This window comes from Homo sapiens, chromosome 5 (genome assembly GCF_000001405.40).
Source record: "Homo sapiens chromosome 5, GRCh38.p14 Primary Assembly".
Lineage (NCBI taxonomy): Eukaryota > Metazoa > Chordata > Mammalia > Primates > Hominidae > Homo > Homo sapiens.
In genome coordinates, this window is record NC_000005.10 from 171291090 (window position 1) to 171306549 (window position 15460).

Genomic DNA, 15460 nt, shown 5'->3' on the forward strand with positions numbered 1-15460 from the left:
ACGTTGGTTTCTCTTCATTGAGAGAAATTTCCTAAAACTCCTGCCAAATCCTGTGGGAAGAATGGAGGAGAATGAGGAAGCAGCTGAGGCGGTGTGGGGCATGCTTTTCCTAAGTGGACCAAGTCATACAACTCTGCCTCAGAAATGGGCCCTTTCCTGGTATGGCAGAATAGCTGCTCAGGGTAATGCAGTAGATATCGTATGTGTTTTCAGACATAGGCCCTAGAAAATGTAGCCTAGGTTGGGCACATTTGTTTAATTTTATTTTATTTAGATATAGACCTCCAGAAGCTGGGCAGATTTGAAACAGCCATTCCAGCCATCCCTGTAGCAGTATTGGAAGTGAGCAGAAGTTGAAGGATTGGAGCCCCAGCTCACGCAGCCATTCCTTGTACCAAATACTGATGGTACCTTGTGACTCACCGTGGGCCGGGTGGTGCAGAATTGCCAAGAGCTGTCTCCTTTTAGTATTCCTGTATTTGTGTCGTTAACCACAGAAAGCCTCCCACCAGAGATTTCATATGACCTGGGAAGTGATTCTGTGCTTAAGCATTTCATCCAGTATTCTTCCACATGCCCCTTCTCCAGAGGAATTTGCCCCCATTGGTTGGCTGTTTCCCCCATACCCTACTGTAAGATATTACAAAAAATAATTCTGGATATGGGTTGCCATGTCAGTACCATTTAAGCTGATTTGCTCACTAATTTTCGTATTTCCAAAAGAATAAAAAAGAAAAAAAAATCACCCATTTTAGCACAGTTTATTTTTAGAAAAGTGTTTTATTCAAACATATCCTTACTTATTACAGACATAAATACATGCATTCAGACAAATGAATACACAGGAGAACCATATAAAGTAATTGGCACATCACTTCAAGATGCTTTTTCAGTTACTGGAGGAATTTGATGCCTCTAACTTTAATCTTTTCCATTAAAATATCCGTTCTGCCTTCAGATTGTGAAGCCCATAATATTTTAGACTGTCTAGATGGATCTGTTAGTTTTGCTTGTCAGTTTAATTTGTGGCTCTATGACTTTGGGTGGCTTGTTAGATTGTACATGGAAACTCGTGATCTGCAAATGATGTTCAACATCCCAAGCTTAAGTCCTCTCCCCAGAGAGACTGGACATACCATAAATATGCAATTGGCAGATTTCATTTGCAACCAGCCTAATTGATATGATGATGTATAGAATGGCAGACGTTTAGAACGGCAAAGAAGCTCATTGCTGTTACTATATCCCTTAAATGTTTATAGCACTTTTTACTCTTTGCAATGCATTTTATGTACACTATCTCATTTGATTCTCAGAGCTTCCTTGTGCTGGATTATTATTTCCCTCCTTATAGTTAATGAAACTGAGACACAGAGAGAAGTTCAGTAACTTGCCTGAGATCACAGGATAAATTGGATTTCAAAAAATACCAGAGGACAAAACCAACTGTGTTCCAAACAAGCCAGGCCACCAAAGCCCAGTAAGGGATGGTGTGTGCAGTGGTCTTTGCCACGTAATTGCCGTTTCCCCTGCCCTCTTTTGGGGAAAGGAGTTCTGGAGCTGTGGGAACAGAAGAGCTTAGAGGTAGGAGGTAAAGAGTCCAAGAAGCAGAAACTATCATCAGCTCCACATGAATGACAGAAACCTGTTTCACAGCCACTTGCCTGGACTATCGCAGCAGCCTCATCCCTGGTCTTTCTCCTTTAGTTTCACCTGCACAGTACACATTCTACATGTCCCCAAAGAGATCTTTCTTAAATGCAAATCAGAGCATGTCTCATCTGTGCTGCAAACATATCACTAGCTCCCCACTACCATCAGGATGAAATCCAGATTCCTCAGCAGGGTCTTCCAGTCTGGCACTGGCGTCTCACCTCTGGCCCACCTCTCTTCTCTCCTGTCATGCTAAGTTTCTTACCATGGCAGAACCCTTTGTGTGCATCCCCACCCTCCTTTTTTGATGCCTTCTTTGCTTAGAACACATTTATAATGAACTCTTTAAATGTTACCTTCTCCGTGCAGTCTTCCCTGACTTCTCCTCAAGGACCCAGAGTCATCCCTGCCTCCTCGCATGCCCACTGCACTTTGCCCAGCCCTATTTCCTGTTATTTCTCTCCTAAGTAGTCTCCCCCAGGAGGTTTCAAACTACTTAATGTCAGAGGTTGTGGTAAATGCCTGTATAATCTTATCTCCCCTATGGATCTTACAGGCTGAATTTAAGAGAACGGATGAGTAATGTACATGTAGGAATGAATGAGTGAGTGAGGGAATTAGTGAACGAAGAGTGAAGAGAAACCTCGAACAGCCTAAGCCAGCAGGAAACATGATGTTCCAGGATCACATGGAATGTGTCCCATTCCCCTCCCTCTCTCCAAGAGGGGCCATGGAGAGATTTCATCTCTCTATAACATAACCTCTTAGGTGAAATAGGAGGCAGACAGGAAGGTGAGCTGAGCTTTTGCCTGGTGCCCTAGCATAGAGGAAAGCATATCAGGGTTGAGAGGCAGGGACTGATCATCTTGGCCCAGTGACCTCTTGACTTATGCCCATCTGGAATGTTCTCACCAAGGCTTTCAGAGGTAGAAGCTCTTCCACAGGGAGCTAGCTGGGGGTCTTTGCCAACAGTTTCTACAGGCAGCCTTATAAGCTTCCAGAGTCTAGTCCGTTTGTCCAGAAAGAGCTTTCATAGCTGTTAGCAAGATGGAGGGGTGGAATCTGAGCACATGAAAGGCCTGGGATTAGGGGGAACTCTGAGACAAGGCATCTCAATCTTTATGTGATTCTATCTTCTAGATGATGTCTGTCCTCATGAACACCATTGTCTTTGAAGACTGTCGGAACCAGTGGTCAGTATCCAGGCCTCTCCTGGGGCTCATCCTGCTCAATGAGAAGGTGAGTGTGATTGCAGGAAGTCACGGGAGGTGGTCCCTGGGAGAAGAGAGCAGCTATAAGCTAGGGTGAGCTGTGATGACGAAGGACAGAGGAGCAGAGCCAATTGAATTTGAACTGGGACCTTGCGAACTCTGTGAGGCTGTATTCCCCTACAAGGCCCTTCCCCAAAGGCCTCAGATCTTCTTCAGGTAAGCAGAGGCCTCAAAACGAGTGCTTCTGGAGCCCAGAGCCCCCACTCACCAGGTGGGTGGTTTGCTCAGTAGTATTTCCAGCTTGCCCTCACTCCACTCCCCTGATTCCAGGAGAATTCTGAGCAACAACCCTTTTTGCCTTCCTTGGCCACCCTTTATATCTGAGATCCCCACTGCCCTAGGTGGTGACAGCAGCAGCCCATCAGGCATTCCTCACAGAACCAGCACCCTTCATCTGGGGAGCACACATCTCCAGCTTCTTTGGAGGACTCACCACCTGGGCTACCTCCCAAGCCTCTCCAGCTTCCTCTTGAACCCACACATCTCCCTAGTAGTAGGAACAGTGCATTACAGCTTGGGAGAATGAATTGTCTATACAATAAGATAGTACTGGGGAAAAAGACAGTGAGATTAGAGGCAGGTGCATGCATTAAAATTCAAACTAAAATCCCAGCCTTGGAAGGAAACTAATAGAAGAAGAAAATATATCAAAAAGAGAAGAGCTGTCTCATCATTCACCTGTGCTGAAGTATCCAATTTTAGCCACATTCAGTAGCACTGTCATTCATCTTCCCTCGGTGTTATTGTGATTTAAATCCAAGCTCTATAAAAGAGAGCAGTTCTTTTAAAATGATTGAGAGGGAATAAGGGCAAATTCAGTGTTTAGAAAAAGCTTATGACATCACAATATTATACTTTACTGATGGAGGCAATATTTCACAGTTTAGGATGAAAAACTAATAATTTTCTATTTGGTGTGAGTCACTGCATCATTATAAAAGGGAAAAATAAGTAGTTTTGTGCATTCCCAATCTTGTTCAGTAAGACATTGTGGTTTAAGTATAATGCCTCTGATATATAGTATTTAAGTATTAGTCTGACTACATATTAATTATGTGTGTTTTTTGATGTAAGCTGTTTTAATGTATGATGGAAATTAAATATCATGCTTTTGGGGCTGGGAAGAATAAATGCATGACTGGCAAAATGTTGTCTTTGTGCTGAAATTAGGCTGTTTCCAATGATTAGGAGCTGTGTTTAGTATCAGAACTTGTGTGTGTATAAAAGCCCACAGTCCTCAGCAGAGAAGAAAAGGCTGTGCAGGTGTTTGTGAGCAGGCCTGACAGACATTTTCCTTAGTGCCACAAAGCTCTCCCCAAACTAAAGCACGCCCCTCTAGTACCCCACCTCAGAGGAGTAAACCCATTCTAACCCCCAAGGACAGAGACTTGGAAAAAAGCCCAAAGTCATTTAAGGAGTGACTCACTGAAGCCAGGAAAGATGATAAGGCCTGAGGAAAGACCCTTGGCCTTGCCTTCAGTCACTTAAAATGCTCCCTGGGCATTTTTAGTTATTTTCTTCAGTCTGGGGGCCCCTCCCATTTCAGTCTTTCTGTGGTTAGTAGAGATGAGAGTCAGGAAAAGCATGCATTCAGTCCCCCACAGAGGAGGCAAGGACTTCATCAGCCTAAGCAGTGACACTAGAACAATTACAGCAAGACATTTTATGGAAGGCATCATAGAATTGATAACTAGGAGTGTCTCTATGGCATGGATTTTCTCTAAGGGCTTAAAGTTCAAAGTGGACCTAGACAAAAACTCCTCTGAGCATTAGTGAGCCCTGAGTAGATGAGAGCTGCTCTATCCATCCCCTGCCAGCTGTCTTCAGGCGGGACTTGGAGTCGGAGCTCTGACACTATTCTGTCTCCCATCAGTATTTCAGTGAACTGAGAGCAAGTTTGATAAACAGCCAGCCCCTCCCCAAGCAGGAGGTCCTTGCCCAGTGCTTCAGAAACCTAATGGAAGGAGTGGAGCAGAACCTGTCCGTCAAGAACAGAGACAGGTGAGCATTGCCCAGTAGTGTGTCACTGGGGGAAGTAGACATTCCAGGTTTGTTGAAAATAACTCTCTCGTGCTTGACACAGCTCACACATGGATGTCCCTTTTCTGTTACACCTTGTGATCCTAGACTCAGTTCCATTCCATTCAGTAAATATTGTTGGTTATTTGCTTTCCTCCAGGCGTCATACTAGGCATTATACAGGGATGCAGAGATTAATAAAATGTAGTCTCTGCCCTTAAGCAGTTTACAATTCAACAGGAGAGATATGAAAAAATAACTGTAATTGAAAGATCAAAAGAAGGAAAGTGCAAATCCACTATGGAAAATGAAGAAAGACTTCTTGGCATTTGAACAAACATAGGCCTTGAGGTCAGACAGACCCGAGATACAGCTGAGTTAGGATCCTGACTATAGCTAACAATAATGTATTGTATATTTCAAAATAGCTAAAAGAGAGGATTTGAAATGTCCCCAGCATATAGAAATGATAAATACTCCAGGTGATGGATACCCTAAATCCTCTGACTTGATCATTACACATTCTGTGCATATAACAAAATATTGCATGTACCCCATAATGATGTAAAAATATTATGTATCAATTAAAAAACAAATTGGCTGGGCACAGTGGCTCACGCCTGTAATCTCAGCACTTTGGGAAGCCGAGGTGGGTGGATCACCTGAGGTCAGGAGTTTGAGACCAGCCTGGCCAACAGGGTGAAACCCTGTCTCTACTAAAAACACAAAAATTAGCTGGGCATGGTGGCACGTGCCTGTAGTCCCAGCTACTCAGGAGGCTGAGCTAGGAGAATCACTTGAACCTGGGAGGCAGAAATTGCAGTGAGCTGAGATCACACCACTGCACTCCAGCCTGGGCAACAGAGTGAGACTCTGTCTCAAAAATAATAAAATTAAATTAAAATTAAAAGTTTTTAAAGATATTTTATATCTGGCCTTTTTAGGTTGTGTGGCAGTAGGCAGTTAACTTCTCTACTCCTCAGGTTCTTTACCAGTAAAATGGAGATGATGATAATCAGTTGTGATGTTTAAATGACAGAACGCAGTGAAACATGGCACCTGGGACCTATGACCTACAGTATTAGTTTCTCCCTCTGCCTGTTCTTTAAGAATGGCTGGTATCTCAGTTGCCAATGAGATCTAAATGAAAGGAGATAGGTTCAGGCTTATCAGCTAGGTCTGACTTCATTCATTCATTCATTTAGTTCACAAAACTTTATTCAGAATCTACTGTGTAGGCATTGGGGTTACCAGTGGTAAACCAATTATTTAAGGTTCCTCCCCCTCATGGATCTTACATTCTAGTAGAAAAGACAGACAGTAATGAATGATGGAGAAAAAGCATGTGTTCAGGGGGCGAAAAAAAAGGCCTGCACCATCCTTTTATAAATGTGGTAGCATTCAAATGCTGCTCCATTTGAAATGCAAATCATCAGTCATCCCAGTAGCCACAGTGTATTCTGGAGTTACCAGCCTGGGCTTTGGTAATACATGACCAAGTCAGTTGGGGTATGCAGACATATTCCCTTGACTGCTCACTTCAAGATCCTCTATCACGCAGAAAGGGACAACCTCAGAAGCCAGCAGATGAGAGTTGAATGGGGAAGCCCTAGGTGTCTCGGTGGAAATTACTTCACCTAAGGCTTGGAAATTTGTGTACTGCGTCCTGAGCTGCTCTGTGAAATGATGGCAGGTGGCCCTCGTAGTTTAATGAGAGTAATAGGCAGTGAAGACTGACTTTTTTCCGTGTACCAGGCACTGTGTTGAGTACTTACAGGCATACAGGCATTGCCTCAAACTGACCCAATAAATTCTTTTTTTTTTTTTTTTTTTTTTTTTTTGAGACAGAGTCTCGCTCTGTTTCCCAGGCTGGAGTGCAGTGGCGTGATCTCAGCTCACTGCAACCTCCACCTCCCAGATTCAAGTGATTCTTCCCACCTCAGCCTCCTGAGTGGCTGGGATTACAGGTGCCCACCACCACACCTGGCTAATTTTTTATATTTTTAGTAGAGACGGGGTTTCACAATGTTGGCCAGGCTGGTGTCAAACTCCTGACGTCAGGTGATCCACCCGCCTTGGCCTCACAACGTGCTGGAATTACAGGCATGAGCCACCGCACCCAGCCTAAATTCTCACTTTCTGCAATCCCTTGAGGTAACTACTCATATTAGGTACCAAGACAAGAGGTTAAGTATTCATCCAATATCACCGGACTCATAAGTGGTAGAGCTAGGATTTGAACCCAGGTAGTCTAACCCAGTGCCCCCTCTTTTTCAGCTACTAAATTCAGTTTTCTCTCTGTAAAATGAGGATACTCATACCTACCTCAGGGAAGACTTGTGATGACTAAATGAGTTGATCAGTAAACTCAATCCAATGCCTGGCATATAAACTTTTGTTCTTTTTTTTATAATCCTTACTATCTATGTGTAATTTAACTTTTCTAAAATTGTTTTTTAAAAGTAGAACCACAAAATGTACACCTCAAGATGGTCAGAGTGAATTTAGTGGCAACCCTGTTTTCCAGGAAGAGATGAGGGGTTGGCAGTACTGGTGGCAGAACAGCAATGGCGGTGAAAGTGGAGAGAAAGGAGCTCAGCTGAAATCTAGAGCCGTCCTCCAGGAGGGGGCTCCCCAAAGTCCTGAACTCCAAAATGGCCTTATCGTCCAGAAATTCATGGAGGCTTTGCCTCATTACTACCCTTGACCCTTTCTTCCTCTTTCTGCAGGTTCACCCAAAATCTGTCTGTATTCAGAAGAGATGTGGCAGAGGCGTTGCGCAGTGATGGCAACACTGAACCATGCAGTCTCGACATGATGAGCTGACCCGACTTTTCTGACCATGTGCGGAGCAGCCTTTATCAAGAGACTCCTGAAGGTCTGGGTCTCAGGACAGTGATGTTGGCTAGCCCAGGGGAATGTATTTTTCAAAACATACAAGCAACAGCAAAAGCCCTAACTTCTTATACGTCTAGCCTAATTATAAGAATTTCTAACAGTACCAGTGTAAATTCAGTCTTTTCTCTGAAAAGCAAAGGATGTGTTTTCAGTCTTTCTATCAAATATTATCTTTGTTCTCCTAATGCTCTGAAAGGATGTAGAAACAATATTTAACCAAAGAACGTAATAAACCAGGTTTGCACCTAAGTGTGTACTAGTTTATGGTTCTGCAGTCAAGGTTGTCAATTTGTTGGAGATGCAGCCTTCACCATGGATCCTGGATTGAGACGAATGCCATTGGAACCTGTTAAATGAGTAGTTTGTTATGTGTCTGGAAGAAGCAGCGTTAGGGACTTTGGGCTGTGAGCATTTAGAACGAGCCTGGAAGCACTACAGAGCATCCCACAGGACCACACGCAGGCCTCCCTGCCTCAGCTGCATCTGATAAAGTTGAGAGACAGTAACACAATTAAATGACTTAGAAACAATGTTTGCTTTTCACTGGCATAAATCTGAAGTGGTTCAGTCTAGAAGAATTAAGCTGTGCAATTACTGCCTGCAGAGATATTTCTTCAGGAGGAGTCATGTAGCCCCAGTCAGAAGTTCTGGGTGGTGCCAGCACCCAGTCCTCTGCCTCCATTTAATTTTTAAGAGAAGGTGAAGGTAACTATTAGAATATAATATTTGAAGCAGCTCTGCCTTCTTAGGGCTACCCAAAACAGTTCTAGGTGCTAAAATTCAGATTTTCAGAGGATGAGAAATAGCTGGTTTCCAACTCTCCACAAAAACTCTTATTACTGTTGGGACTTGGGATTCTGACTCACCCCAAACCCAGAACATGAAGAAGACCTTTACAGTTTGTGCTCTACTGTTACTAGGCTATTAATTTGAGATCGTCCACTGTCAAGTGTTTTACTATCTCACTGCTGTTTTTATGATTCAGGCTTATAACAAATATTGTATCCTTTATTTCTGATAAGACATGAAAGGTTGGCCTTACTGTTGAACAATAAGTAAATCCACAGGCTCCTGTTGTAATCTCATTTCTCAGACTCATGTTTCTTGAAACCTTTCTTGAGAGTTGAGTTTTGCAATAGGCTTGTCATATAAGAGCAGAGTCATCAAGCTTATCTCAAAATGCTTGTCTTCTGTGTATGAAGGAACTCAGGGGAAAATACGTTACCTATGGGGTTACTTCTAGTATTTAATGGATAAATAAGCTTGGGCCTTACACTGTGTTTCATTAGAAATGGGAAATATAATTTTCCTTGAGAAGGCAAATTCTGAATTCTGTAAAAACATCAGCTGTTCAGAGAAGTTTGACATGAATTTCTGTTTCTTGAAGGCTTATAACTGCACACTCACCTCACAGAAATGTGTTAAGGCAAGTTTGTCCCATTCTGGCACTGTTTTCTTTACAAATGTCTAGTATCTAAAAGCACCATATTGTTTGCATTAAAGTGTTCACCAGAAAATGACCATGGGCACTCGCTTCTGCTTGCCACACTGCCAGAGGTCACCTGGTGGTTTCATAGCAGACAAGAATGGCTCCATCAGAGTTGGCCTTGGAGAGCTAGCTGTTCTCAGAGGACCGGTCAGGCCTGCCCCACTGCTGACGTCTACAGGACCTGCTAGTAGAGCTGGCCTCGCAGAGCACACTGCAGGCAGCATGCGTCAGCTGGAGAAGACTCGGCAGACGGTTACTGAACATCTCTCTTGCCCTTTACATACATGATCTCTTCCAGTCCTCACAACAGCCCTCTAAAGTTTAGACAGCATTAGCTCCACTTTGCAGATAAGGAAACCGAGGCCCAAAGATGGTGTCTATAGCTTACATGGGTCACACAGGCAAGATTTGAACCCAGATCTGTTTCACCTCAAAGGAATTCCTGGCCCCTTGTAAGGAAGACCTGTATTTCAGAATGGTGAGTTGAAACCAGTTAATATTTAGGTCCATTATCATCTGTTTCTCAGAACTCTATTGTTACATAACACATTACCCCAAAACTTAGTGCCTTACAGCAACATTTATTAACTGACAATTCCTGTAGGTCAGGAATTTGCAGCTGGGTTTCAGGCTGTCTCTCTCTCACAGGCTGTGATCATCTCAAGGCTTGACTGGGTAAGGCTCTGCATCCAGACTCACTCGTGATGGTTAGCAGGAGTCAGTTTCTCACTGGTTGTTACCTCAGTTTCTTCCCAAATGGGCCTCTTCACAGGACAGACAGCCCACAGCATGGAACCTTGTTTCATCAGAGAAGAGCCAGAGAGATTGCAGCAATCTGGAAGTCACTGTCTTTTATAACCTAATCTCAGAAGAGCCATCCCATCACTTTTGCTGTATTCTGTTCATTAGAAGTAAATCACTAAGGCGGGGATCATTGGGAGCCATTTTCTTTTTTTTTTTTTTTTTTTTGAAACGGAGTCTCACTCTGTCGCCCAGGCTGGAGTGCAGTAGCACGATCTCCGCTCACTGCAAGCTCTGCCTCCCGGGTTCAAGCCATTCTCCTGCCTCAGCCTCCCAAGTAGCTGGGACTACAGGCGCCCACCACACCTGGCTAATTTTTTGTATTTTTAGTAGAGACGGGGTTTCACCGTGTTAGCCAGGATGGTCTCGATCTCCTGGCCTCGTGATCCGCCCGCCTCGGCCTCCCAAAGTGCTGGGATTACCGGCGTGAGCCACTGCGCCCGGCCACTGGGAGCCATTTTCAAAGCTGTCTGCCACAACTCTTGTCTGGCCATTGCTAGAGAGGTTGAGTTTTAGCTGTAAATTTCTTTCTTAGAACCTGGAAAGGAACCCTTCTTTTCCTTTAGAGGGTCAGGTTCCATTCTGAGCCCTTACTGAGGGAGGAAGAGGAAGTGGGGAAGCTGGGATGTTTAAGGATCACACATACTGCACACTCATCCCACAGTGGATGAGAACCAGATTTGGGACTCTGCCTCCAAGACTGCCGGAGTCTGCCTTGGTGAGGGACAGTGGGATTCTTGAGAACAGACCTGGAGTTCCACGTGGGAGTGGACCCTGTAGGGACATCCTGTCTCAAGGAGAAAGCATGCACAGACACACAAACCTATGGAGGCCATGTGAAAGACGACTAATGGGGCTGCTGGGTCTAATCAGATCACACGTGGATCCAACTTAACTCAGAGTGAACAGCAGGAAAAAATAGTGCTGGCAGTTCCAAGGGGCCTACCACTTCACAAATGTGCTCCAAGAGGATGAGATGGGCTGCTGTTTGCACACCCGCCCTTCTGATGGGATTCTAGTGTACAGATAGATGGATGGTTCATGCAATGTGGGTGCCAAGTCAAGCCAGCTGCTTCAGGGATGCTCAAGCAAGAAACAGTCGGAAGGGATTTTTACTTTGCTCAATTTTTGCCTTCCACACTGACTTCAGAACCTGGCCCCTGAGAAAGATGTATTCTGCCTGTATTCCGGATGTTTCTGTTATTCTGTTTTCCAATCAGGCTTCTTTAGGATGGGGGACAAAGGAGTGTAGAGTCCCTGCACTGAGTGTGATTATCCGAACTGCGCAGAAAAACCCTCCTAGCCTTCTGGACTCCCTTCTATTGGCCCTGACAACCTAGAAGTACCTACGGATTATGGTAGTGGGGGCCCCTTTCAAAATGCAAAAGTGGCTTGCCATGTAGCTGTTAGCTGAGATTAGTGACCAGATTAGCTGACTACCAACAGCTGCACATGAGAACCAAAAACAGAGTGGATTTGGTGAGAAAAATTGAAGAAACTGAAAGATCTGGCATATGGGAAACCCGATCTAGATGTTCAGCAGTTTTGGGGAAGTCCTATTTGAGAGAACTCAGCTCCTTATGATGAGGAGGGAAAGGAGTGCCTGAAGAGAAAAGCAGGGCAGAGTAAAAAGGGAGAAAGTAAATGTTTGTTTTTTTTGTTTTTTTTTTTTTGTTTTAAGACAGGATCTCACTCTTGTCTAGGATGGAATGCAGTAGCATGCTCACAGCTCACTGCCGCCTCAACCTCCTGGGCTCAAACAGTCCTCCCACCTCTGCCTCCTGAGTAGCTGAGACTACAGGCCCATGCCACTGCACCCAGCTAATTTTTGTATTTTTTGTAAAGACGGTTTTGCCATGTTGGCCAGGCTGGTCTTGAACTTCTGGGCTCAAGCGATCCACCTGCCACAGCCTCCCAAAGTGCTGCGATTACAGATGTGAGCCACCACTCCTGGTCTTAAAAGTTTTAAGATGAACATAAAATAATTAGAACAGCTATAATTTACTGAGCACCCACTAAGCATTGCAAATTGCTATCTCATTTTATGCTTCCCAGGAAGAATGTGAAGAATTATTCTCCCCATGTTAGAGATGAGAAAACTGAGACTAAAAGACTGACCCAAAGCCACATAGCTAGAAAATGGACAAGCCAGGATTCAAAGTCAGATTTGCCTGACCTCAAAATTCATGTTTCTTTTTCACTATAATTCCTTGAACTAGGTCCTTCACAGCTGGGCCTAGGGGACAGTTGGGTGGGAAAGCTCGATGTGAACCACTTTGACACCCACAGTGGGACTAGGCACTCCCAGAGAAAGGCCAGTCCAGGACCTGGGCCCGTTGTGTGCTGTGTCTGTGGGTCCTGCCACCGATTCATCCTCCTCCCTGAACTTTCTAAAATCATTCTTGAGACTTTTAAATGTTTTATTGAGGTGCAAGTTTACAATGACAGCAAACCTTTCAAACCACAGCAAGAGTAACCTGCCTCCTTGGCATATTAAAAAATAATGTTAGTGTCGGTTTTTACATCCCATAGTTTGGATTGCTGATAAGAGTGCTTCCTTGACAAGATTCTTTTTGAGGTTTACAGAAAGCGTAATAAAATATGTAAGTTACATTTCCACAAACAAAAGCTATAACATAAGTTATTTATAAGCGTGAGATACAAACAGTATCATAATAAATAAACCATAAAGGGTACCTGCAACATTCATCTTAATGTAATTTGCCCAACGAAAGTGTTGAAACGAAGTCAAATTTAGTAGAGAAATCTGTCAGGAAAGGAGGAAAGTTGCGGAGCACAAATGGGAAAAATGGCTAAGGTGTAGGGGAAGGAAACAAGGGCATGAGATCAGGTTTGGAGGTCCCTGAGAAGGCCACCCCATGTATTTGCCCACCCTGCCTGCCCTTGCTCCCCCGAGTCTGCGCACACTGACCGATTCCTGCCACCCTGCGCATGCTGCCATCTGCACAGTCCCTGTTCACATGCCCTTTATAACCTCCACCAGCCCCCCACCCCATGGAGAAAGGAATCTCGCCCTGCTTCCCTCTCCTCTAACCTCCAGCCCTAGGGTCAGCTTCCTCAGGCTGCTGCCAGCCTCCCCGCCAGGTCCTGGGTCTGACACAGCCCAAGCGCCTTGGAAATCATTCTTTCCCTCATTCATTCACCTGCCACAGATAAAGCTAGTGAGCAGGATAAGTAAGATCGGTTCCGAGGGGAATGACGAAAATCAATGGGTAGAGAGGATGATGGGGTGAGGGTGCTGCTCTGGAGGATGGGCAGAGAGGTGAGGGCTGGCCTGGGTTGTAAAGGATGCAAGGAACCAGCCATAAGCAGGGCTGGGGGAGGTGAATGACGAACTGAGTGCACGCAAATGCCTGCGCCCAATTCTGACCCCTTTTTCTTATCCCTTTGCCTGACCTTGCTTTGTGCTATTGAGTTTAATACCACAAACTCTTGATAATGTCCTCCAGTCCTCCACGCCCTGGACCCAGCCCTGGGACATGGGATCAAATGCCACTAACAGCATTTTGCCCAAAAGGAACTCCCAAGCCAGTAGGGGAGACAAGTGAGCCCCACTATGGCCAGCCCTCACCGCCACTCTTGGGCTCATTCACCCGGACCCTGCACTGCTTCCCCTCCCCACTCAGTCCTGTGACTTAAGAGTCTTTACCACCTACCCCCAAAGAGGGGTGTGAGGTAAAGGGGAATATGTGGGCTTTGTAGTCTAAACAGTCCTGGGTTCAAATCCCAGCTCCACCCCTGTCTACTACATGCCCTTGGACAAGAGACTGTTTCCCTAAGTCAACTGTCCTTGAAGCCTCGTGACCTGCAGTGGGGGGTCCCAAGCAACAGCCGACATCTGAAGGCCTTTTCCTTCCACTGGCTGGCAGAGTCTTGAGACTGATCAGACCTCCTCAGGAAGGTTCTTCCCTAGGTCCTGCCCACTGGGGGAAGCAGTGATGAAGAGCTCAGACTGCTTTGTGCCCACTGTTAGATGGGGAAAGCAAGCCCCTGCACTGGGGAATGGTCCAGGAAATGTGAGTAGGTGCTCAGTAAATATTCGTTGAATAAATAAATGAATGGGCGAATAAATTTCGGCAAGTGTCTTTAGAGCCTCCCATCAGGAAAACTGGAAGGGCCCCTAGGGACTCCTAACTAGGGTGTGTAAGCCAAGAACAGCATGGCAGGTCAGCAACCTGTGACATGGTGTGTGTGCCAAATTATGTGTTTCTGTCTTTTTCTATGGAAGCAGACCACAATATTTTCATCCGTGTTTCAAATAGGGTAGCTGACCCAAATACATTTAAAGTCCTGATTCAGTCTCTACCCCATTTCACAGACAGGGAAATGGAGTCTCATTTCCCTCAGGAAGTCAATGGCAGAATGATCCTGGAGGAACCTGGCCTCCCACAGCTGGGCTCATGGGCCAGCTGGAAATCCCAGCATCTTGCCTGTCATCCCTGAAGCCCCACCCTCTTCTAGATGACTCTCGGCAAAGCCTCCACCAGCTGTACCCCTTTCTTCCAGCTTCTTCTTGGGGAAGAGGAGAGGATGTGCTCCATTCTGAAAGTCTCTCTAGCCCCGGGAATCCTCATCCCCAGTTCTTACAATTCTCATTTCCTAATCTCTTTCAGTGTGTATGCCTCACTGATCAAGTGACAGCAGGTAAATTACAAGGGCAGCAAGAAATTACAACCTCAGGAACACCAAATACATATCAGAACATACCTGGCCAAAACAGTGCTTAGAGGAAAACGTATGCCCTTGAGTGCATTTATTTAAAAAGAAAGAAAATTGACAAATTAAATTTTCAACTCAGCAAAGAAGGAATAAATCTTTTTTTAAACCGCAACATTCACGAAAGAGGTGGCATCTTAAAAGGGGATAATGACATCAAAGGCTTTTTTAAAAACCAACAAAATAACAAACCTTTGGCAAGTATGATCAGGAGAAGGCATGAATGAGCGACACGGGGAATGAGAAGTGGAAGGCATTAGTACAGATTCGTATGAGAGTTGCAAATTCTGAGAGAATCTTCCCACAATGTTACAACAACACATTTGAAAACTCAGATGGAATGGACCATATTCTGGGCACTGGCTTCCAGAGTTGAGCAGGCATCAGAATCACCTGGAGGGCTTGTTAAGCACAGACTGCCGAGTCCTACCCCAGAGTGTCTGATGCCGTAGGTCTGGCGAGGGTCCAATAATTTGCATTTCTAACAAATTCTCCAGTGATGCTGATGCTGCTGCTCTGGAAACACACTCTGAGAACCACTGTCCTAGGGACTAACCAAGTTCCCCCCATTCCTGAGCTGCCTAAGAGCTAT

General features: G+C 44.9%; 1 protein-coding gene across 11 annotated transcripts in view, besides 1 other annotated feature; it reads left to right on the forward strand.

Annotated features, from left to right (window-relative positions):
* Positions 1-8926, forward strand: part of RANBP17 (RAN binding protein 17) — a 437998-nt gene extending 429072 nt beyond the window's left edge. For 10 of the 11 annotated variants that reach the window (XM_011534627.2, NM_022897.5, XM_017009738.2 and 7 more), the window contains 3 exons: positions 2794-2892; positions 4798-4925; positions 7673-8926. In XM_011534627.2, the coding sequence (XP_011532929.1) occupies positions 2794-2892; positions 4798-4925; positions 7673-7769 (324 nt within the window). In that variant the 3' untranslated portion in view covers positions 7770-8926. Of the gene's footprint in view, positions 1-2793; positions 2893-4797; positions 4926-7672 lie in introns of those variants that run through there. The other variant, XR_007058628.1, reaches the window with a different exon arrangement.
* Positions 2448-3647: an enhancer, noted in NCBI's record as "BRD4-independent group 4 enhancer chr5:170720541-170721740 (GRCh37/hg19 assembly coordinates)". NCBI's record gives its function as "activates an origin of replication core promoter dependent on BRD2, P300/CBP, MED14 and CDK7 cofactors, and independent of BRD4, by STARR-seq in HCT116 cells {active_cell/tissue: HCT116}" and the evidence as "EXISTENCE:reporter gene assay evidence [ECO:0000049][PMID:35650434]".
* Positions 8927-15460: the final 6534 nt, after the last annotated feature.